This window comes from Homo sapiens, chromosome 10, assembly GCF_000001405.40.
Source record: "Homo sapiens chromosome 10, GRCh38.p14 Primary Assembly".
NCBI classification, from domain to species: domain Eukaryota; kingdom Metazoa; phylum Chordata; class Mammalia; order Primates; family Hominidae; genus Homo; species Homo sapiens.
In genome coordinates this window covers 85750021-85774833 of record NC_000010.11, presented here as the reverse complement: position 1 = coordinate 85774833, position 24813 = coordinate 85750021, and the positions used below count along the sequence as shown (strand labels likewise).

Sequence of the window (24813 nt, the reverse complement as noted above, 5' to 3'; positions counted from 1 at the left end):
GCACCTGTTGTTTCCTGACTTTTTAATGATTGCCATTCTAACTGGTGTGAGATGGTATCTCATTGTGGTTTTGATTTGCATTTCTCTGATGGCCAGTGATGGTGAGCATTTTTTCATGTGTTTTTTGGCTGCATAAATGTCTTCTTTTCAGAAGTGTCTGTTCATGTCCTTTGCCCACTTTTTAATAGGGTTGTTTGTTTTCTTCTTGTAAATTTGTTTGAGTTCATTGTAGATTCTGGATATTAGCCCTTTGTCAGATGAGTAGGTTGCGAAAATTTTCTCCCATGTTGTAGGTTGCCTGTTCACTCTGATGGTAGTTTCTTTTGCTGTGCAGAAGCTCTTTAGTTTAATTAGATTCCATTTGTCAATTTTGGCTTTTGTTGCCATTGCTTTTGGTGTTTTAGACATGAAGTTCTTGCCCATGCCTATGTCCTGAATGGTAATGCCTAGGTTTTCTTCTAGGGTTTTTATGGTTTTAGGTCTAACATTTAAGTCTTTAATCCATCTTGAATTAATTTTTGTATAAGGTGTAAGGAAGGGATCCAGTTTCAGCCTTCTACATATGGCTAGCCAGTTTTCCCAGCACCATTTATTAAATAGGGAATCCTTTCCCCATTGCTTGTTTTTCTCAGGTTTGTCAAAGATCAGATAGTTGTAGATATGCGGCGTTATTTCTGAGGGCTCTGTTCTGTTCCATTGATCGCTATCTCTGTTTTGGTACCAGTACCATGCTGTTTTGGTGACTGTAGCCTTGTAGTATAGTTTGAAGTCAGATAGCGTGATGCCTACAGCTTTGTTCTTTTGGCTTAGGATTGACTTGGCGATGCGGGCTCTCTTTTGGTTCCATATGAACTTTGAAGTAGTCTTTTCCAAATCTGTGAAGAAAGTCATTGGTAGCTTGATGGGAATGGCATTGAATCTATAAATTACCTTGGGCAGTATGGCCATTTTCATGATATTGATTCTTCCTAGCCATGAGCATGGAATGTTCTTCCATTTCTTTGTATCCTCTTTCATTTCATTGAGCAGTGGTTTGTAGTTCTCCTTGAAGAGGTCCTTCACGTTCCTTGTAAGTTGGATTCCTAGGTATTTTATTCTCTTTGAAGCAATTGTAAATGAGAGTTCACTCATGATTTGGCTCTCTGTTTGCCTGTTATTGGTATTTAAGAATGCTTGTGATTTTTGTACATTGATTTTGTATCCTGAGACTTTGCTGAAGTTGCTTATCAGCTTAAGGAGATTTTGGGCTGAGACAATGGGGTTTTCTAGATATACAATCATGTCATCTGCAAACAGGGACAATTTGACTTCCTCTTTTCCTAATTGAATAACCTTTATTTCCTTCTCTTGCCTAATTGCCCTGGCCAGAACTTCCAACACTATGTTGAATAGGAGTGGTGAGAGGGGGCATCCCTGTCTTGTGCCAGTTTTCAAAGGGAATGCTTCCAGTTTTTGCCCATTCAGTATGATATTGGCTGTGGGCTTGTCATAGATAGCTCTTATTATTTTGAGATACATCCCATCAATACCTAATTTATTGAGAGTTTTTAGCATGAAGGGTTGTTGAATTTTGTCAAAGGCCTTTTCTGCATCTATTGAGATAATCATGTGGTTTTTGTCTTTGGTTCTGTTTATATGCTGGATTACATTTATTGATTTGTGTATATTGAACCAGCCTGGCATCCCAGGGATGAAGCCCACTTGATCATGGTGGATAAGGTTTTTGATGTGCTGCTGGATTCGGTTTGCCAGTATTTTATTGAGGATTTTTGCATCAATGTTCATCAAGGATATTGGTCTAAAATTGTCTTTTTTGGTTTTGTCTCTGCCCGGCTTTGGTATCAGGATGATGCTGGCCTCATAAAATGAGTTAGGGAGGATTCCCTCTTTTTCTATTGATTGGAATAGTTTCAGAAGGAATGGTACCAGTTCCTCCCTGTACCTGTGGTAGAATTCGGCTGTGAATCCTTCTGGTCCTGGACTCTTTTTGGTTGATAAGCTATTGATTATTGCCCCAATTTCAGAGCCTGCTATTGGTCTATTCAGAGATTCAACTTCTTCCTAGTTTAGTCTTGGGAGGGTGTATGTGTCGAGGAATTTATCCATTTCTTCTAGATTTTCTAGTTTATTTGCGTAGAGGTGTTTATAGTATTCTCTGATGGTAGTTTGTATTTCTGTGGGATCGGTGGTGATATCCCTTTTATCATTTTTTATTGCGTCTATTTGCTTCTTCTCTCTTTTCTTCTTTATTAGTCTTGCTAGCAGTCTATCAGTTTTGTTGATCCTTTCAAAAAACCAGCTCCTGGATTCATTAATTTTTTGAAGGGTTTTTTGTGTCTCTATTTCCTTCAGTTCTGCTCTGATTTTAGTTATTTCTTGCCTTCTGCTAGCTTTTGAATGTGTTTGCTCTTGCTTTTCTAGTTCTTTTAATTGTGACATTAGGGTGTCAATTTTGGATCTTTCCTGCTTTCTCTTGTGGGCATTTAGTGCTATAAATTTCCCTCTACACACTGCTTTGAATGTGTCCCAGAGATTCTCGTATGTTGTGTCTTTGTTCTTGTTGGTTTCAAAGAACATCTTTATTTCTGCCTTCATTTCGTTATGTACCCAGTAGTCATTCAGGAGCAGGTTGTTCAGTTTCCATGTAGTTGAGTGGTTTTGAGTGAGTTTCTTAATCCTGAGTTCTAGTTTGATTGCACTGTGGTCTGAGAGACAGTTTGTTATGATTTCTTATCTTTTACATTTGCTGAGGAGAGCTCTCCTTCCAACTATGTGGTCAATTTTGGAATAGGTGTGGTGTGGTGCTGAAAAGAATGTATATTCTGTTGATTTGGGGTGGAGAGTTCTGTAGATGTCTATTAGGTCCACTTGGTGCAGAGCTAAGTTCAATTCCTGGGTATCCTTGTTAACTTTCTGTCTCGTTGATCTGTCTAATGTTGACAGTGGGGTGTTAAAGTCTCCCACTGTTATTGTGTGGGAGTCTAAGTCTCTTTGTAGGTCACTCAGGACTTGCTTTATGAATCTGGGTACTCCTGTATTGGGTGCATATATATTTAGGATAGTTAGCTCTTCTTGTTGAATTGATCCCTTTACCATTATGTAATGGCCGCCTTTGTCTCTTTTGATATTTGCTGGTTTAAAGTCTGTTTATCAGAGACTAGGATTGCAACCCCTGCCTTTTTTTGTTTTCCATTTGCTTGGTAGATCTTCCTCTATCCTTTTATTTTGAGCCTATTTGTGTCTCTGCACATGAGATGGGTTTCCTGAATACAGCACACTGATGGGTCTTGACTCTTTATCCAATTTGCCAGTCTGTGTCTTTTAATTGGAGCATTTAGTCCATTTACATTTAAAGTTAATATTGTTATGTGTGAATTTGATCCTGTCATTATGATGTTAGCTGGTTATTTTGCTCGTTAGTTGATGCAGTTTCTTCCTAGCCTCGATGGTCTTTACAATTTGGCATGATTTTGCAGTGGCTGGTACCGGTTGTTCCTTTCCATGTTTAGTGCTTCCTTCAGGAGCTCTTTCAGGGCAGGCCTCGTGGTGACAAAATCTCTCAGCATTTGCTTGTCTGTAAAGTATTTTATTTCTCCTTCACTTATGAATCTTAGTTTGGCTGGATATGAAATTCTGGGTTGAAAATTCTTTTCCTTAAGAGTGTTGAATATTGGCCCCCACTCTCTTCTGGCTTGTAGAGTTTCTGCCGAGAGATCCGATGTTAGTCTGATGGGCTTCCCTTTGTGGGTAACCCGACCTTTCTCTCTGGCTGCCCTTAACATTTTTTCCTTCATTTCAACTTTGGTGAATCTGACAATTATGTGTGTTGGAGTTGCTCTTCTCGAGGAGTATCTTTGTGGCGTTCTCTGTATTTCCTGAATCTGAATGTTGGCCTGCCTTGCTAGGCTGGGGTTCTCCTGGATAATACCCTGCAGAGTGTTTTCCATCTTGGTTCCATTCTCCCCGTCACTTTCAGGTACACCAATCAGACGTAGATTTGGTCTTTTCACATAGTCCCATATTTCTTGGAGGCTTTGTTCGTTTCTTTTTATTCTTTTTTCTCTAAACTTCCCTTCTCACTTCATTTCATTCATTTCATCTTCCATCACTGATACCCTTTCTTCTAGTTGATCGCATCGGCTCCCGAGGCTTCTGCATTCTTCACGTAGTTCTCGAGCCTTGGCTTTCAGCTCCATCAGTTCCTTTAAGCACTTCTCTGTATTGGTTATTCTAGTTATACATTCGTCTAAGTTTTTTTCAAAGTTTTCAACTTCTTTGCCTTTGGTTTGAATTTCCTCCTGTAGCTAGGAGTAGTTTGATCGTCTGAAGCCTTCTTCTCTCAACTTGTCAAAGGCATTCTCCGTCCAGCTTTGTTCCGTTGCTCATGAGGAGCTGCATTCCTTTGGAGGAGGAGAGGTGCTCTGCTTTTTAGTTTCCAGTTTTTCTGCTCTTTTTTTTCCCCATCTTTGTGGTTTTATCTACTTTTCGTCTTTGATGATGGTGATGTATAGATGGGTTTTTGGTGTGGATGTCCTTTCTGTTTGTTAGTTTTCCTTCTAACAGACAGGACCCTCAGCTGCCAGTGTGTTGGAGTTTGCTAGAGGTCCACTCCAGACCCTGTTTGCCTGGGTACCAGCAGCGGTGGCTGCAGAACAGCAGATTTTCGTGAACCGCGAATGCTGCTGTCCGATCGTTCCTCTGGAAGTTTTGTTTCAGAGGAGTACCCGGCCGTGTGAGGTGTCAGTCTGCCCCTACTGGGGGGTGCCTCTCAGTTAGGCTGCTCAGGGGTCAGGGGTTAGGGTCCCACTTGAGGAGGCAGTCTGCCCGTTCTCAGATCTCCAGCTGCATGCTGGGAGAACCACTGCTCTCTTCAAAGCTGTCAGACAGGGACATTTAAGTCTGCAGAGGTTACTGCCGTGTTTTTGTTTGTCTGTGCCCTGCCCCCAGAGGTGGAGCCTACAGAGGCAGGCAGGCCTCCTTGAGCTGTGGTGGGCTCCACCCAGTTGGAGCTTCCCTGCTGCTTTGTTTACCTAAGCAAGCCTGGGCAATGGCAGGCGCCCCTCCCCCAGCCTCACTGCCGCCTTGCAGTTTGATCTCAGACTGCTTTGTTAGCAATCAGCGAGACTCCGTGGGTGTAGGACCCTCCGAGCCAGGTGCAGGATATAATCTCCTGGTGTGCCATTTTTTAAGCCCGTTGGAAAAGCACAGTATTGGGGTGGGTGTGACCCGATTTCCCAGGTGCCGTCTGTTACCCCTTTCTTTGACTCGGAAAGGGAACTCCCTGACCCCTTGCACTTCCGAGTGAGGCAATGCCTCGCCCTGCTTCGGCTCGCACATGGTGTGCTGCACCCACTGTCCTGCACCCACTGTCTGGCACTCCCTAGTGAGATGAACCCGGTACCCCAGATGGAAATGCAGAAATCACCCGTCTTCTGTGTCGCTCACGCTGGGAGCTGTAGACCGGAGCTGTTCCTATTCAGCCATCTTGGCTCCAGCTCCTGCCATCTTTATATTCATGTGTACCCCACATTTATCTCCCACTTATGAGTGAGAACATGCAGTATTTGGTCTTCTGTTCTGGTATTAATTTGCTTAGGATAATGGCCTCCAGCTGCACCCATGTTGCTGCAAAGGACATGATTTTATTCCCTTTTTATGGCTGCATAATATTCCATGGCCTCTTCACCATTTTTCTTGCAGTTATTTTCATATTAGTTCAGAAAGAACTTCTTGATTCTTTTTTTTACAGGTACATTACTATAGTCTTTTTGTTTGTTTACAAGTACAATACTTTCCTTTGAGTGAATAGAGCATGATTTATTTTACCAACACCCAATTGATGGACATTTAAGCTATTTCCAATCTTCTGAAAAGAGTATTGAATAAATGACTTTGACCATATATTAATTCACAAGTGTGTGAGAATAACTTTAAGAAAAATACCTAAAAATATAATTACTGGTTACAAGGATTTGTATATGTGTGTTTGTGACTTTGCTAAATATTGCCAAGTTGCCTCCACAGATGTTGGGTCAATTTCTATATCTGTCAACAATGCATTGGGGTTCCAATTTCCTTATAGCCTTGTTACTGCAGTGCTTTACCAAACTGGGATTTTTGCCAACCTGTTAGGTGAAAAATGGTAACACAGAATAATTGAAAAATGTATTTTTCTTTATCCTGTATGAGGCTGTGTATCTTTTCAAATGTTTTAGAGGCATTTGTTTTCCTTTTCTGTTAATGGCTAGTCTTATAATTTTTCCAGATTAAAAACTGAATTGTTGATCTGTGCCTTTCTTGTTTATTTATAGGAGTTTTATACATCAAAGAGATTACCCTTTGCATTGGACATTGCCAATATTTTCATCAGAATATTGTTTGTCTTTTGGATTTTCTTTTTGTTATTATCATTTTTTTTTTACCACTTGGAAGGTTTTCACGTAGTCCAATTACTATTTTCTTCTTTTATGCTCTCTACATTTTAAATAATTTTTCAATGTTACCTTCTAGAAATTTTATAGTTTCAATTTGATGTGTTTAAATCCTTGATTTTTTGGAATTCATCCTGGTGTATTGTGTGTTGTGTGAAAAATGGATTCCACTTAATATTTTTCCAGATGGTCATCCAGTTATTCCAACACCATTTATTGAATACTTCATATTTTCCACACTTCCTTAGGGGTTGGTCATGGAAAAAACATTCTCAGCTTTCATTTCCTTTTAATCGATTTTAGCTCGGGATTTCCTGGGAAGGTGAGAAAACTTTCCACCAAAGTCTCTGGGGTTTGCATTTCCTGTTCTGTTTGGGGATTACTATGCATCTCTTAACTCTGTGATTTTGCTTTCCAAGCTTTTGTGGTTTGCATCCCTTGTCAACAGGATTTTTTTCTGCAAACAGCAATGTAAAGGCTCAATGTGTCTAATGTGCCTGTGTAGTCACTATAGCTGTGGCACCAGCCATAGCCTTTTGTGAGCAGAGAGCTCTCAACAAACATCTCATGCTTTTCAACTTCTGCCAAATGATTCTGCATCAGGACGGGATGGGTGCAGCAGCCAAAAGAAATATCAAAGGTGGAATAGGAGCCACATTTGGGAAGTGTGTGCATGAAGTCAGAGGAAATTGCCAGCTGTCAAGCATATGAAAAGACAAAAAGACAACTGAAGAAATGCCCACCGCTTTCCCTTGAATTCCTCCTTGCCCCTTTTCCATCTCCCTGACCCAGTGACTCTTGCCCATGGAATGATTAACAACAGGCCCAAAACTTCAGCAAAATGAAAATGACTCAGAACTTTCAGGTCGTATTTGTCTATCTATTCATTTAACAAAGTTCTTTTTCCCATCATAAAAATAAGCATGCTGCTTGTATATTAGATATGCTATTTAAATTATTTGAATTTTTAATGAATATGATTCAGTAAAGAACTTGAGTCAGCTAACACACCCAAAAATGGATCAGAAAAAAATAACTGGTGGAATTGCAGCCTGGGTAATGGAGGACAAGAAATTAATAAAGTTGGGGATAGGATTGGGGGTGATGGTGTGGGAGGAGGATAGGCTCATAGAAGTGTAACTTATATGAGTTTATACAATTGCTACATTTCGCCAACTTGGCTCTACATTTCCTAGCGGTCAAAGTAAAAAGGGAAATATTAGCTACAACTTTCATAAGACAAATAGCTGTGCCTGAGTGGCCCAGCTTCTCCTGATCTCGAGTTCTGGGAATAACTCTGCCAAATGCGCTAATGTTCATTCCCAAGAAATTATAAACCTTATTGGAATTTGACAATGACAGACGTGGATTTGACTACAGGAAACAAGAGGGGCATGGATATATTCTTGGCATATACAGAGGAAGGCTCTTCCCCTCTAGTTACACACAGGCAGGGCAGATCCAGGCTTTCTAAGACTTGAAGTGTATGCAGTTTCAAAGGTTTTACTTTAAGGAAAAGAATATGAAATTGTGAATGTAAAATCAGGTATGAAAGTGAATATTTAATGAGAAAAAATTATAATAAAATATACTAAAAAACATGAAAAACCTGACAGATACAACAAAATCATACACACACACACACACACACACACACACACACACACACACAATCATCTGCCTTTCACACAGTTCCATAATAATTTCTCCCCTGTCATTTTTGGCTACTCTTTGATCCTCTCCTCATATGATAATCCTTTTGAATTTAATGTCCCATAGAGAGAAGAGCAAGATTATTTCATCTTTCCTCTGGTATGGTTGATTGAAAGTTTTTTATTAGTAGTTGTTTAGAAAAGTTTTGTTTGGTTTCTTATCATTGGTAATGTGTTGTAAATTTAAAACTATTGTCATTTTTTTTTAGACAAATCTCGCTCTGTTTCCCAGAGTGGAGTGCAGTGGGGTGAGCACAGCTCAATGCAGCCTCAACCTCCTGGGTTCAATTGATCCTCCCACTTCAGCCTCCTAAGTAACTGTGACAACAGGCACATGCCACCCCACCAGGCTAATTTTTAAATTTTCTATAGAAATGGGGTTTCACCACATTGCCCAAGCTGGTCTCGAACTCTTGGGCTTATGCAGTCCTCACGCCTCAGTCTCTCAAAGTGCTGGGATTATAGGCGTGAGCCACTGTGCCCAGTCCCTATTGTCAAATTTAAGGAAACCCTTCCAAGTTTCTTTTGTGAGGTGGAAGATTTGGAAGATTTTTCCATGGCTGGCTTCTTACTTGGTTTATTTCAAACCTTGTTTCTCCTCTACCACCACATACTTGTGATGCCAGGGCTGCAGCACATGTACTGCCACGACACAACCTCACCTGTGCACCTCTGTGGTATGAGACCAGTTGAGTCAGCATGACAGCAGTTAAAATCGTCCCCCTCTGGCAGCCAGCAATATGTTTTCTATGCATGGAAGTGAAACTAGACCATGGGAAAGTATCCCACTAAACTCAGACCCAAAACTTAGCTTCCTAAAATTTCTGACAGTGGATCCTACAGCAGTAGATACAAGAAAAAGTGTGGCTAACAGGAAGTTGGGTGGAACAGTGGTCTGAATTGATTCCAGTTAAGTTCAGATTGAGTGTTCTTTATCCGAAATGCTTGGGACCAGAAGTGTTTTGGATTTCTGATTTTTTCTGATTTGGGAATATTTGCATATAAATAATGTGATATCTTGGGGATGGGACCTAAGTCTAAACATGAGATTCATTTATGTTTCACATACACCTTATATGCATGGCCTGAAGGTAATTTTATAGAATATCATAAATAATTTTCTGCATGAAACAAAATTTTGACTGCATTTTGACAGCAATGTGTTACATGAGGTCAGGTATAGAATTTTCCATTTGTGTCATGTCAATGCTCAAAATGTTTCACATTTTGGAGCATTTTGGATTTTGCATTTTCAGATTAGAGGTGCTCAACTTGTATCCTACTTTTTCAAATATTACTAAACTGGAGACACATGGGAACACATTGCTAGGACCTTCCCTGATAATCAGCATTGCCAGAGCAACAGGAGGGTCTTGAGGCCTAAGCCAGCCCGTGCAGCTAAATCTCCCTCTGGATGCAGAGCTTTCTAAGGGTAATCATGATCACTTACACATGGAATTCAGAAGCAAATACCATGTCCTAGTTGACCCATTTTCTTGCTGTGTGACCATGGACTAGTTATTCAACTTCTATGAGCCTCAGTTTCATCTGCTTGAAAATTGAGATAATACAACATAATACAAAATTATGGGGTTGTTTTGAGGATTAAATGGGATATATTCATACATCAGTTACTCTTTTCAGCACCTGCAACCATCCTAAATTCTAAATAAATATCAGGTATAAAGATGTACTGGAATCCTCAAAGAAACCATCTAACCACTTGCTTTGTCCTCTTTGGGGCAAAGAAAAATCCCTGCTGCATTTCTGTTATATAGTCTGATGACCCTTTCTATTTTCAGACAAGTGGAATTTTAAATTAAGTAACCCTGAGTTTTGTTTTCAATTTTCCCATTCTCTTTTCCTTGAATTGTGTATGGGCCTGTACTATGGCTGACATGCATGCAATGTTAAACACAATGCAAGCTATGTGCAGAGTAAACTGTAGCTTCACAAACAGCTGTTTTTTGAGAGTGACATGAAGGTACTAACTTAGTGGAGAGGAAGATAAACTTGAAGTCATGGGTTTACTAACTTAGACTCAGAAATAAAGCCCACATGTGTTTGTGAGGCTTTCGGATAACTTTAGAACATGTGCCTGTGTCTAACCATCATTTCCTGGGCCCTGTATTGTGCTGGACCCCTGCAGGGCACGGGGTTCACCTGCAGCAGCCCAGGTGGCTGACTTTCCCCACATCAAGATGACTGGTTCTTAAAGGGACCAGGGGAACCTTGTCCATTCTGGGCTTACTCTCTCTGCCCACTTTGGGCTTCACTGAGGACTTGTGAATGCTACCAAAAAGTGCTATGCGGGGCCATTTGAAGGCTCTGAATTTATCCTGAGGCCCTGTGGTGAGTTCATTTGCCAGATGTGCCCCTACTTAAAATTCCACTCCTCGGGGGGATTCTGTGCTGCCCTTTGAGAACCATCACTTTGCAGGGAAGTCAGTGCTTGGCAGCCTAGAATGAAACTGGATCCCTCTGATTATTGAACACAGTTGCCCCTTGGCCTGGGAAGGATTTACTGAGCATTTTGGTCACCTCCTGTCACTCTTCATGGAAAGACTCACCACTTCAGGGGCTCATCATCCTGTTCCTGAACAAACTGGAGTTTTACAGGCAGAAAACGCATCTCTTTGGCTTTTATTAAGAACTAATATTGAAAAATCCAGCAGTCTCCAGAGGGCTCCTTCTCTGTGGCCTCATCTGTAATTTATCTATTATTTAATCTTTAAATGGAGTCTCTCAGAGACTTTGCTGGATTTTTTTCATCTGCCTCCCCACACAGAGATGAAATTATTTCCCAAGTGCCTTAGATCATGAATTGGTACCTTTTGGAAAGGAAAAGATAATACTGTTTATGTGCGAGTAGAAGAGAATTACTTCACTTGTCTGTAGTAACACTGATTAAACTGAAATGTCAGAGCTAATGTTACAGTTAATAAATGTTATACATACTCAAATCTGTCTACTGATGATTCTAACAAATGCAGAGGACACTGCTTAAAAATAGGAGGGATACCTGCATCACCATGTGAGTGCCATTTGTGCTGTCCATTTCCAGTGAGTAAGGTAAAAATGTGCATTACAAATGAGACCCATGTTGGTGATGTCTGCAGGTCATGTTTTGTCACTTGAAGTTTTCCTAACCAGATAAATTGTCACAGTTATGAGAAATCAACATAGGATTTGGAAAACATTTCCTGAGATAAGTTGCATTATGTAAATCAGAAGGTAGTGGGATAGAGTATGATGAGAAAATGGAGTGTCAGACATCAGTGTGCCAGGGGCTTTGGTGAGAGGAAGAACAAAAGGGTCCCCCTACAGCCTGCCCTCTCACAGCCTCACAAAAGTTGATGGTATTGCTTGCTCTTCCTCGTAAGAGAAAATGTATCTGGGACCTGTTATCTCAGTGGGCATCCTTGGGCAGATGGGTGTGCCTTCCTTTATTCCAAGATGTAAAATACAGAGAGCACAAGTAGGAAAATTAAGAAAATGAGATGAGGACTGCAAGGTGGGCAGCTGACTTGGGGTCACTGGCAAAAAGACCAAGACTCTAGTCCTCCATGCCCATTCTCCCAGAAATGAAGTCTCAGTTTCTGGAGAAGGACGTCACTCTTGCTCTGACCACAGGAGGACTTTGCCTGTTTGCTGTCCACCCCTCCATTATCCCTGGATGCTGTGCTCTGCTGCAGTTTCCCAGTTGCCAGAAATAGTGTGGGGTTTGTAGTCTTATACACATAGTTGCAAATCCTAGCTGTGACTTTGGACTAGGTTTTAACCCTGAGGCTACTCAGGGGCCTCCTGTCTGTCTCCTAGGATGATTCTGCTAAATCAGTGAGCAAATGTGTATCAGGCACCTGACAAGTCACCTGGCTCACAACAGGCACTCACTTCTTCCCACGCTCCAAACTGAGTTGATCACTTGTGCATTGTTACGACTTCAAGACAGGGGGACTTTCTTCTCTTCCCCATTGCCCTCTCTCTTCCTGGTTTCTCATGTCTGTGAAAGCCTCTGTCGCTTTTTTGGTCAGCAGGTAGGGATAGGGAGCTGGCAGCCTTTTGCCCTCTCTCTGGCACACGCAGCAGTCTAGGGCTTATCTGAAAGGAGAAAGCTGATTGAGGCACAGTTCCCACATTGGGGCAGACTGGGGAGCAACTCACAAATTCAAGGTCCACAGTAGAATGTCTGGGACATCCCAGCTGGCACCCCCAGACAGGAAGCTCTACACCCTAGGAGAATTCTAATTCAGTTGGATTTACCATCAAATGACTGTAACAAAGAAAGAATATATTAAAATGTTCATTGGGGATCTTGGTTATTATAAATTACATTATTTGAAATCTCATTTAGATCCAGAAATTTCCAGACTGGGTTTGGAAGCTCTGAGGATTAGTCCTTTTGGAACAATGGAGTGTCAGTGATCATTTGGAAAAGTAATTATGTCAAATTTAATTATCATGCATATGCATTTCATCGACATCACTGTGCACACCCAGGAGACAGTGGGGAAAGGACTGCTCCAGCATGAGCCCTTGATAGAGGAATGCGGTGCAAAATTGTACATGTTGTAATTGAGTGTCACTTAATCTGAAGCATGATGGATACAGCGACTGTGGGTGGAGCAAATGGGAGGAAGTATTTGGCCCACTCAGCAGATGTTTGAGATATTTGGGAAGGCTTTTCAATGTTTTCAACATATTGGAGAGGAGCAAACTACATTTCAAGTAGGCTGATAACAATGTTTCCCTGTCTTAAGCATTTCTTTTGTTTTCTGTTCCTGTGGTAGCTTCACAATTCTGAATTGCAGAATGGTTTGGAATAATCCAGTAAACCGCCAAATGAGACTTTGAAAGTGTGTGTGTGTTTTGGGGGGTGTGGGGGGAGCATGGCATAGGGACTGTCTGGCAGACAGAGGGGCCACCATGGCAATTTGCACCCTAAAGTGTTCAGAGTGTGTTCTGTTGGATGCTGACCAACTGGGGACCCATAGTGGTTTTATCTGTCTCCTGGCCTCTATCCCAGCTTCCTCCCTTAAGCTGGCTAGCACCGTTTAGAACTCCTTGTCATTGCCTCTTCTTTAGGGGCCTCCCCTGATGATGCTGGGTTAGGTTGGCTGCCCTGCACTTACTTGCACAGCACAACGGTGTAATTGCTAATTTGTATGCCTGTTACCTCTGCACACCGTGGGCACTGTGAGAGCAGTGACCTTGTCCTTGGCTTAGCATTGGCTCTCTAGTCCCCAATGCAGCACCTGCATAGAAAGGGCTCAGTAAATACTTGTTTGAATGGGTGATCAGAAACTGGAAAGAACTCCAGGAGTCAATTTCTCCTCTCTACACATCCCTAATTGTGCTGAAGCCCAAACAAGCTGTTTCTAAAGCTGCTATCTTTGGTTTGGGGACGTGAGATAAAACCATTAGTGTTTAACACATGACACTTGATATATGACCAGGAGCTAACTGGTTAGCTTCTTTGGAGCTCATTGAGAATTGTAAAACTGGAGGCAGGCACTGTTGAGTGGAAAAATTGAAATAGTGCATGGCAAGTGCTTCCTTCTTCCTGGGATACCCGTAAAAAGTTACTTTTTAATTTGCTCAGCTGAGCTCAGAGCCTTTTTGTTTTTTGAAGAGCTGGCCAAGAATTCATCAAGGACTGAAAAACCAAAGGCTTTAACTTCAGGTTAGAGGTGCTGTTATTGGGTTCTCAGTGCATGGTGCTGAAGCCACAGCTCATGGGTGTGAGTGCAGATTTGTCCACTTTGACGAAATGCCTTCTGACCTGTGTTATCATCTGAGAATCTTGGTGCTTTGGGTAAAGTTTGATGGCCCTGCTGATGCTCTGGCAACAACATTTTACCAAAGCCAGGGAACCTCAAATTGCTGCAGTAGAGCAGAATGGCTACTGAACAGGAAATCCAGGCATAATTCTCACTTTCTGGAGCCCTTAGGGAAGATAAAACAGGAAAATTGAGGAAATTGTGCTTGAGACACTATAGAACGTGTTGCAAATGTATACTTATTGTTGACATTGTTGACTTCTGTCTCACTAGCCAATACTGTGTGTGTGTGACCAGTCTCATATGTTTTTCCAAGACACTGAAAGGCTTGATGATTAAAGGATGCAGGGCTCTTTGTGACTTCTGTTGAGTTGTTATAGTTTACCTGGCAGAAAATGAATGGTGGAAACCCAAAATGGGCAAAAAGAAGGAGCTAAATTGTTTTGAAACTGGCTTGTGTGCCAGGGGGAGTGACAGACACATTATCTTATCTACTTTAATCTAATTTTCCCAACAACCTAGAAAGTAGGCAGTAGCACTATTTCCACTTACAGTGAGTTGCACAAATCAGGCCAATGACAATAATAATAACACCTAAAATCTACTGAGTTCTTGCCATATGTCAGGCATCTAATAAAGCTGAACAATATAAAATTGCCATTTATATAGGTCAAAAACAACTGATGGTCAGCACTTTTCATGTATCTTATTCGTGCCTAAACAAACTTAAGTCAGCAGGGCTGTCTGACTGCAAGTTTCCTGTTATGACACCACCTCTCACTGAGGTAAAATAGGGTGCTACTAACAAAAATGGATGTCAGAATGCTGTCTTATATATTCATAATAACACAACTGTTACCATCAAGAGCCCCACTGAGAAGACTTAGGCCTGGAGACTTGAGAATGTAATGGTGATATGGGGCGAGAGAGAGCAAGTCCCCAGGCACCACACTTTGGGGATTCTCTTTCTTGCATTTATTCTTTACCTGGCATGGCAGGATGCCCTCAGAGGTGGAAGATACTTTTGCTGTATTAGGTTTAAAATGTCATCACTAATTAGCTAGGATTTCAGGTTGGGTCAATGCAGTATCAAGCCTGGGGACTTAACTTTATAGACATAGAATTGAAGGGAAAAATACATTTTCCGAACTCATTTTAAAAATAGTTTCCCTTGGAAATTAAAACCATTAAATGTACATAATTATGCAGATCAGTATTCATGCTTTAAAGAAACATGATTTCGCCTTCACTTAATTTGTTTCTCCAAGACCTAATTATGGATTAGATATAAAAAAATATTATTTTCCAATCACTGTGCAAATCGCCTTTTACCACCCAGGAGGACAGTTCTCTCTGATTAGTGAGAGTTGTTTCCATGCACTGATCAGTCAAGGAAAAGTCAGAGAGATATATTCCAAGAGGGAGTTGGTTGTTCATAAAGTCAAAAGAAGACAACAAGTGTGATCCTTTTCAGTAAGACAGAGTGGTGGGGATCAGCTTGAGTGGGGCTCCAGGTCTTTTCCCAAGAGCAGCTGCATTCAGCACCTGACCAGACTCTAGGGTTTTAAGGGTGCAGCTGCCCAAGGACTGGTCCAGAATCCAACAGTAAATGTCTATGGTCCATCATACTGGGATGCCTGGAAAGGAGCACCAGGGTTGCAGGGAGAGGGAAAGGCCCTCAGTGACCTCAAGGGGCAGCCAGGAACAAGGTGGAAGACAACACCTCTGTAGTCATCACTTTGCTTCATGGGAAGTGTTGATGCCAGGGACTTGATTCATGACCAAGACTCAGAGACTGGAGTTGGCTCTGATTAGGATTATAATAATGGCAGGGATCTCCATCATGTTTACTATGTCCTAGGCATGGTTTTAAACACTTTACAAACATCAGCTTATTTAATCCTCACAACAATTCTACAAGGCAAGTGCTATTATTATCTCTGTTTTATATTAATAGATGAAGAATTCGAACCACACAGGGGTTAAGCAGCTTGTCCTCTAGTGAGCAGTGAGAATGGAGCAGCTTGTCTGGAGTCTGTTCCACCAGCTTATAGTGGGAGGCTCTCCACTGTGCTGCCTTTCAGTACTAGCAGGTCACTCACAACTTGACAAGTGCCATAGATGCTCTAGTACATTTAATCCTATCCATAGCCCTATGAGGAAGATAGGCTGTGGTGAGCTACTATTCTGATGGTCCCCATCAAATCATACCTCCCAGTACCCACGCACTTTTGCAGTACCCTACCCTTGAATTTGGGCAGGGCTATACCTGCTTTAATCCACAGGATATGGTAGAACTGATGGTGAGACACTATGAGACAGTGCTTATGATCCCTGGCAGTCTGCACTTTGCCCTCTGGAGAAACCCAGATGCCATGTAAAAAGTTTGAAAACCCTGAAGCTACCAGGCTCAACAATGAGGAGAAGCTATGTGGAGGAAAACTGAGGCCTCAACAATTACCCTCTGATGAGCTCCTAAACCACAGCCCCACCAACTTGCCAGCCATGTGAGTGAAGTCAACTTGGAAAGAAATTGCCCACCCCTAGTGGTTTTCCCTGGCTGATGGCACATGGAGCAGAGATGAGCTGTTGTCAAACTCTGTCCAAACTGCAAAAGAGTGAGCAAATAAATAAAACAAGTGAAAGTGATTGTTGTTGTAAGCTACTAAGTTTTGCAATTATTTGATAATGCAGCAAAAGATAATTAAAATGGTTATAGATTTCACTTTACAGATGAAAAATCTGAAGTTCAAAGAGGCCATAAAACTTTCCTCAAATGCTATAGCTAGATAGTAACAGATGCAGAAATGGAATCAAGGAGTGGGAGTGCAGAGGAGCACTCTAACCACCATGCTCTACTCCCTCTGTTGGTGTATCTGCAAGGACTGCCTCAATGTCCAAGGAAGGTCAGCCTGTGTGAGGCTGTGCCAGGAGTGTTACGATATAAAATTCCTGGCCCCTGCCTACCTGGCCTTTCTGTTCTGGTTGGAGCTTACACTTCCCTTAGAATACTTGCCAGTGTAGCAGCATGCTGCAATATTTACTGAACTCCAAGAATGTACCAGACCCTTTTTAGTTGGCTTATCATTGAATCTTATAGCAGGTAGGAATGACTGTCCCCACCTTGGAGTTGCAAAAGCAGGCTTGGAGATTTCAGTAAGATCCTTAGGTTCACACAGTGTGTTTGGATGGAGCTAGAATTTGACCTGGTTCAGCTCAACCACCATACATAGTACATGGACCAACTTCAGCTCCTGTTCCTCGTCTTTAGTGTCCCCCAGTAGGCTCTGTCACATTATTCAGGATGCTGCTGAACTCTGCTCAAAGTGAGCTTCTTCCCACTTTCCCTTAACAACAATGTCAGTCACAATCCTGTGGATGCTTTGAATGTTTGTAAGACCACCCAGATTTGGTGGTCTCTTATTGCCTCCCTGATCAGAGATCATTATGTCTGTTTTCTTGTGCATGCCAACTCCCAGAATGGACAGATGGGAGAATTTTCTGCCCTCACTCCACCCATGTGCAGATTGGGCATCAGATCCTCTCAGCATCCTGAAGACAGTTCTCACAACAGCAGCAGCAGTAGCCATATAAGCATTCGGCTTGGGTTGGGCCATAGGGAAAACTTTCCTTCTCATCCACAGATAATGACCAGGAAGGTGTTCCTCAGTGAGAGGCTTGTTCTTCCAAGCGAGATTAGGTAGTAGAACCTTGAAGGGGAGTTGAAGGCATTGAGGCTGTGCCTGAGCTCAGTAGAGGAGCATCTGCTGAGTGGGTGAACCCTGCCGCCCCAAGTTTGCCCCCTGTTGGCTTGGTTTGCTTACCATGCCTTAGATCCTATGCTTAACTCAGGTACATTTTAGAAGGTAGATCCTTGGAGGGGCTATACAAAAGCAGCTGACAGACTATGAGAACATTTTCATCCAAAAGGCGGTCATTAATCCTTAAGCTATAAAACTACACTTTGCCTCAGTCTCCGCATTGTACAGGGAATCAGTAATGGTGCCTACCTCATTAGGTTGTCTTGAGGATTAGAGGAGTTTATATTGGTACAGTGCTCAGAGCAATACCTGGCATAACCTATAAAACTGTTAGCTCAGTGTAAGTGACAAATGGACAGAGGGCCAAATGCCTGTGTCTATACAGTAGTATTCCCTTATTTGCGGTTTCAGTTTTCATGGTTTCAGTTACCCACAGTCAACCAATCAACTATGGCCCCAAAATATTAAATGGTAAATTCCAGAAATAAACAATTTGTAAGTTTTAGACTGCAGTGCTGTTTTAAGTAACGTGATGAAGTCTCACTCCATCTGGCTCCATCCTACCTAGGACATGAATCATCCCTTTGTCCAGCGTATTCACACTGTAGATAATGCCTACCAGTCGGTCACTTTGTACCTGTCTTGGTTATCAGATTGTCTGTCTTAGGATTTCAATGCTTGTGTTCAAGTAACCCTTATTTGACTTAATAATGGTCCCAAAGTACAAGATTAGTGCTGCTGGCAATTCAGATATGCCACAGAGAGGCCATAAAGTGCTTCCTTTAAGTGAAAAGGTGAAAGCTCTAGACATAATAAGGAAAGAAAAAAGTTGTATGCTGAGGTTGCTAAGATCTACGGCGAGAACGAATCTTCTATCCATGAAATTGTGAAGAAGGAAAAAGAAATTTATTCTTCACAGCTCAAACTGCAAATTTACGGCCACAGTGCATGATAAGTGCTTAGTTAAGATGAAAAGGGGATTAAATTTATGGGAGAAGAACATGAACAGAAACGTGTTCCAGTTGATGGCAATTGGGTTCGGTACTATTTGTGGTTTCAGGCTCCCACTAGGGGGGGTATTGGAACATAATGTATCCCCCTCAGATAAGGGAGGACTATTGCATGTGGGTGGGGGTTGAAGGAGAATGGGTGCTGAGGGTAGGAGAGAGATGACCACAGTGAGAGAAGGTTCCTGAGCTGTTACCAGTGGCGTCCAGCGCATGGCAGGGTCTCAACATGTCTTTGGCCTGTGGGAAGGGCTCTGATAGGTATGAGTCCCACCTCCTTGTTTTAGGGATGAGATGAGGGAAGTTCAGGGGTCAGGGGAGAGGCCTGTGTAATTCAAGTTTGTTCCAGACCTTTTCCATCTAGGTCACCAGGAAATGGGGTTCTTGGGCAAGGGTGTCAGGGCCCCAACACGTGTGCTTATGGCCCCAGCAGAGTGCCCAGGGGTGCCCGAGCGGAAGTGCCACTTCAAGGGCTGAGAAGTGAGAGTGGTACCAGCTGCCTCAGGTTTTCTCACGCTCTCACGCCAGCAGAGCATGAGCGCCCTCCTTGGCAATGTGAATTTGATGCTCTTACCTTTCAGAAGAGTCCTTTGCTTTACTCTGGGAATCCTGGCACTCCTGCGACTTGCTTTGACCACTAGCATGTGGCAGAAGTGACGTTGCAGAAGTTCTGGAGCCTCAAGAGACCACGCAGCTTCTGTTTTGTTCCCTTGGACGCCATCCTGAACTGGGCAGGCGCTGAAGAACCAAGGACGGAAACCACGTGGAGAGAAAGGCCAAGTCATCTCAGCCGGCTCAGCTGAACCCAGGACCTATTGATCTTCCAGCTGAATGAAATCCCAGGAGCAGGCTCCATTAGCTCATTGAACTGTTAGAAATAATACATTGTGGCTGCTTGAAGCCATTAGGTTTGGGGGTGGTTTGTTTTGCTTCAATAGGTAACTGAAATGCTTGCGCAAGTTTGACCAGGCCTGGAGTCCTAGGACCCTTTCTAGCAGCCCCTCTACTAGCCTATGAAAAAGGGCCGGCCAAAACAGGCTTCATAAGGAATAGTGGGGGGAACTAGGGAGAAGAAAAGACTAAAAACCCACAGGCTCATGATCGGGCTGCTTCATATTCCAAGAGGGCCATCCTGTACCAGAAAGACTAGGCTGATTCAAAAGCATCCCAAGCTCTTTAAGAAAAATTGTAACAATGATAAAAATAAATTTAGTACCTCCAATATGCCAGTCATTTTATATGCAGCCTACTCTTAATCCTATAAATAACTTTTTAAGGTAGGTAGGCATTAATTCCATTATTTTGTGGGTGAAGAAATAGAATCAAAGAGTTTCCTGCCCAAGGTCACACAGTCTGCAAGGGGAGGAACTAGAATTTGAACCAAAGTTTGACCCCCAAACCCAGCCTCTATTTATTATGCCTTGTTGTCTTTCTCTTGGCCCACTGGATGTAAGTCAAGGAAATGAGAAGTTTTTGGGGAAAAGAGTATCTCTGAGCATAGTATGCTCTCTTTTTACCACCATTGCTTTTCATATGCTCTTTCTTTGATCAGTAATGAGCTTTATGTAAGTCTCTGTTTGGGGAAATTCTATTCACTCTTTAACTTTAATCATATCTCACTCTCTTTGTCATACCTTTCCCTAGTCTCATATGCTCAGAGGATCACTCTTTTCTCTGTTTCTCCTCAGTGCATTCTACAAACCTTTTTCTCATATGTAACTCATGATTTTAATTACTTTCTTTTATTCTATCTTTCTCCCTTCTAGACCAGACATTTCTCTAGGACAGGATCTATACTTCATTTCTGTGACCTGTGCCTGTCAGTTTCTGGCATGTGGCAGCCTTCAATAAATGCTTGTTTAATTACTGAATATATTGATGCTTTGATAGAAGAAACAACTCTGTGAACTATTGCCCACATTTGAAAAATGACATTTCTGATGGAAGTGAGTCCCCTCCCCCCATCTGTTGAGTGTCTGGGTAGTCATTTAGGCTGGTGGCATGTGATTTCTGGCTTTGTATGAAGATTTCACAAGATCAGTGCTCTCATGAGTGAAATTGTCACATCACTGGGTGATGGAGGATAAAATTAGAAATTTCTTTTTAGTTTTTTTTTCTTAAAACTTAAGAAAAGAATTTAAGCTTTACAATATTTGCTATGTGCATTAGCACTGGTGCTTATAGGGGAATGGCTTTGCCATGATTGCCTGATGACCTTGTATGTGTCCAGAAGGGCCATACAAGCAAAGGCTTAAACTACAGCTAATGAAAGTCTTGGTGTATCACCTTGCAATCCTTCCGGAACACAAGAAGAAGGGAGGCCTCTGAGGAGCTGCTATGAGGCCATCTCCCACTCCCCTTCCTATTCCCCGTGGGAGGCTGTCCTGAGACAGTTTTTCATTACACTTCATGAGGTGTGAGGCTTTCTGCCCTACACCTATCAGGACATAGCTGTAGGCTATAAAAGTGCTTAAGTGAAGTCTAGAATTGGCTTCTCAGCAATGGAGTATCCCACAACTGAAGTTATAGTAATTTAGACCAGATAAAGTCTAGAATTGGCTCCCCAGCAATGGGATATCTCACAGCTGGAGTTACAGTCACCAAGACCCTTTGGTTTTAGTGTCATCTTTTCTGGCATGTAGGAAGACACAGGGAGTGGGCATGTTTGGCTATTCTTCCTCTCTCTGTCCATATAAGTAATAAACTCTCTGAATCCTTAAGTGGCTTGTCATCTCTTTACCAGCCGAATCATTTAGGCCTTGGTCCTGGCCTTGCCTGCTGTGTGCTTGACAGTGCCCTCACTGTCTACATGTCAGTCTGCCCATGTGCCACACATGGCAGTGCTTCTCAACTATTTGCAGTAAAGGACCACTTATTTTAATTTTCAATCTTCCACCAACCCATATTTTTATAGAGTATAATAAAATGAATTTCTAAAACATTAAAGATACACAGAATACAAGTCCCTCCCTCTTCTAGTTAAATCAGATGACATAGTGTAATCTGTGAAATTGCTAGATGTTTATAAACACTTTTGATTTCTCTGCTTATCTCATTGAAGACTAGGAAGAGTTTGAAGGCTGGCACCGATCTGTGGATCACACTCTCAGCAGCACTGAAGTGTGGGACATGAGATACCCGAGGGAAAAGTAGGATTTCAGAACACAGATGGTTTGCCAGAATGCCCTAAGTTTTTATTTGATTTCTATAAGCTGTAATGTATTATAATTTATATCCACCTGGTAGGGAATTTATGTATAATATTGATTTTTAACTAAAATAACCCTTAGAGGAATTTGAAAAAAACTTAAAAGTTACCTTTTAGTAATGGACAGATTGAAAATATTAATAAAGGCAAACATAGCTTACAATATGAAAATGGATGAGTGGACATTTCTTTAACTCTCAGTCTCAGCTCCTTGTCAGCCATATTATGAGGTAGAAAAAATAACAGTATATTCTGGTATTACAGGAAATTGGTTAAAAATTCCAAGTTAGCAATAGAATATTTAAAATATCAAATCAAATTTATAGTGGTTAATAATGAACCTTGCCATAAGTATATATTGGGTCTTGAAATATTCATTAATTACAATATGATCTCTCAAGTCAGGCAAGACATTTAACAAAATTTATCTGTATCTCCACTTGTCAAAATTCCATTTTATATCTATTTTGTAATATACACAATATGTTAGTATATATATGTATATCATTTGTAAATAAGCAGTCGTATATTGGTGTGAGGCTTAGCATTTTTTCACAGGGGTCATGTACAGGAAATGTTTTGACCTTGGCATGAGGTCACCTCCAAGGCCTTCCACATCACAAAGGTAGTCAGTCATGTCTCAAATTTTACCTTGTGAGTGCAAGTCATCATTTCTGGACTTTCTCCAGTTTGAGTGTGTCTCCAAGACTGTGAACTCAGGGCCAGCTCTGGGATGTGTTTCCCACCAATTCTAACTCATAAAGGGCCGGAGAGCTGAGATTGTATGTGCTTTGGTCTTATACCAATTACAAGGCTCATAAAGATACACTCAAGAGGGTCATCGACTCTTTCTACAGTTTGTCTATTCCAAGCTTCATTAAATAATGTGGATTAAAGAAAGGCCATTTTGGGAAGGCAGATGTGGCTCTAACCTGACTAGTCAGAGTAGGCTGACTAGCAGAAATATGGGGATGGTTACTTTCAGCTAGTCATTGACTTGGCCATAGCAAGTTCACAACCCTGGGCTTGCATAAAATTATTTAAAATTTCACTTTATTTAAAATCATACTTAATTTTGCTCATTATAAAAGCACATCAAGCTCATTATGGAAAGTTTTTTAAATGCATTAAATTTTAAATAAATTTAACAATAATTTTTTTACTTAAATCATTAATTTTTGGATCTGTCTATTATATATCTTCATGCCACATACCATACATATATGTGTGCACACATGTATAATATTAAATGTGTATATGGTTGTAATAAGAATATATGTTTTTCTTTTTTAAATAATATAGTTTTCATTCCCCACCTTTTACCTATACGGGCCCTCAAAAGCCACTGGGGAGATTGAGCTCTACTAAGTTTTGGTCCTGAGGCTTCCTCTTCCATGTGACGAAAGGGACCAGACTGAACAAGGGAAGCCATGTGGACCCATTGATGTGATGAGGGCTATCTCAATGGGATTGCAGAAGACATGATTTTCTCAAGCTTTCAGCAGCAGTCTTTTCTTATCTTGGATGTGATGCTTTCTTTCTAATATCACCTTTGTCTCCTGTGCAAACCCTTCTCAAACTCTTCTTGAAATCTGGTCCCAAGGCAAAGCTTCTTAGAGCCAACCTGGCGCTACCCTAATATCTGCTCATTTCATTTGCATGTGACTTGTGTCATTTATAATAACACTACCAAGAGAAGGGGGCCTGTAACCAGGGCAACCAGAAGAGGTGCCTTCGAAATTCTGGCTCAGCCAGACTTTCTGCTCCGTTTAGTTAGATTCTTATACATTCATGGCTCTCTTCTCTCCTGAGATTGCAAGAATGTAAACACCTAGAATCTCCCTCATCTCATGTCCTTTTCTCCCAGAGCCCCCTCTGGGCCCACCTATCCAACACATTCTATTTCTATCAACCTGAACATTTCTTCAACTGTTACAAGATTCCTATTCAATTACTATCCAACATTGTGGGTCATAATATTTTCTAATGTTAATACAATCTCTGATCATTATTTTTAATGCTGCCTACTGTTATATCCAGGAGGTGGACCGTAACTACTTTACAATTCTCATATAATTGGATTTTGGGTAGTTTCCTTTTTTGTTTGTTTTGGCCATTATGTTTAGTTCTCTGATGATCATCTTTGTGCATTACTTTTGTTTCTGTCATTAAGCTATAGGAGTCCTTCCCTAGGATAGTTCCCTGGAATTTAAATTACTGATCAAGAGATATATTTGTTAGGCTTTTGATGCATAGTGCTATGTTACCTTCCACAGAGTATCAGTTTACCCTGTATTGTCATTGTGCTCATTTCTAGATATCATTGCTAGGTATTTCATTTTAAAAATATTTTATAAGCAAAAATCGAAGTAGAAATAGCATAACATGACAACTTGCTTTTTATGTTATTAGATTGGACATATTTCCATGCTTGCTAGCTAATTACTTATTCTCTTTGTGAAAGTATTTGCTCTGGTTTTCTTTCCTTTCAATTATTCACATTTTACATTGCAAGTTGTTCTGCCTATGAGGTTGGGCAGAAGCCTTGCTCTTAAAATAGGAGTAATCATATCTTTCAGCCAATCACAGCTGATGATCAGGTGACCAAATTCTTCCCTGGTGATGGGTCAGAAGAGTTGTGTGCTTTTGAGCACAGCTGAATCTTCTCTGAATTTTTGTTGAGGGAGAGCGCTGTATGATCATGTATTAAGATTCTTCCAGATCTACACCCTAGTCACCTAAGAATAGATGCTCCTGTTGGAATTCAGCTAACTGTAAAAATAGGTATGCATATCTTTATAATTTATGGTAATGATAGTAATAATCATTCATTTTTATTGAGTGCCTGCTCTGTGCCAGGCATTTTAATAAGTGCTGAAGGACCTGCTGAAAATAGGTCAAACAATACTCTGTC

General features: G+C 41.3%; 1 protein-coding gene across 3 annotated transcripts in view, besides 2 other annotated features; it reads left to right on the top strand.

Annotated features, from left to right (window-relative positions):
• The window catches only part of GRID1 (glutamate ionotropic receptor delta type subunit 1), a 767244-nt gene that overhangs the window by 591962 nt on the left and 150469 nt on the right, over window positions 1–24813 (top strand). The window lies entirely within an intron of this gene.
• Window positions 4517–5016: an enhancer, noted in NCBI's record as "H3K4me1 hESC enhancer chr10:87529575-87530074 (GRCh37/hg19 assembly coordinates)". NCBI's record gives its function as "activates a minimal SCP1, AML or CMV promoter by ChIP-STARR-seq in primed H9 embryonic stem cells {active_cell/tissue: H9 hESC(primed)}" and the evidence as "EXISTENCE:reporter gene assay evidence [ECO:0000049][PMID:30033119]".
• Window positions 5017–5518: an enhancer, noted in NCBI's record as "H3K4me1 hESC enhancer chr10:87529073-87529574 (GRCh37/hg19 assembly coordinates)". NCBI's record gives its function as "activates a minimal SCP1, AML or CMV promoter by ChIP-STARR-seq in primed H9 embryonic stem cells {active_cell/tissue: H9 hESC(primed)}" and the evidence as "EXISTENCE:reporter gene assay evidence [ECO:0000049][PMID:30033119]".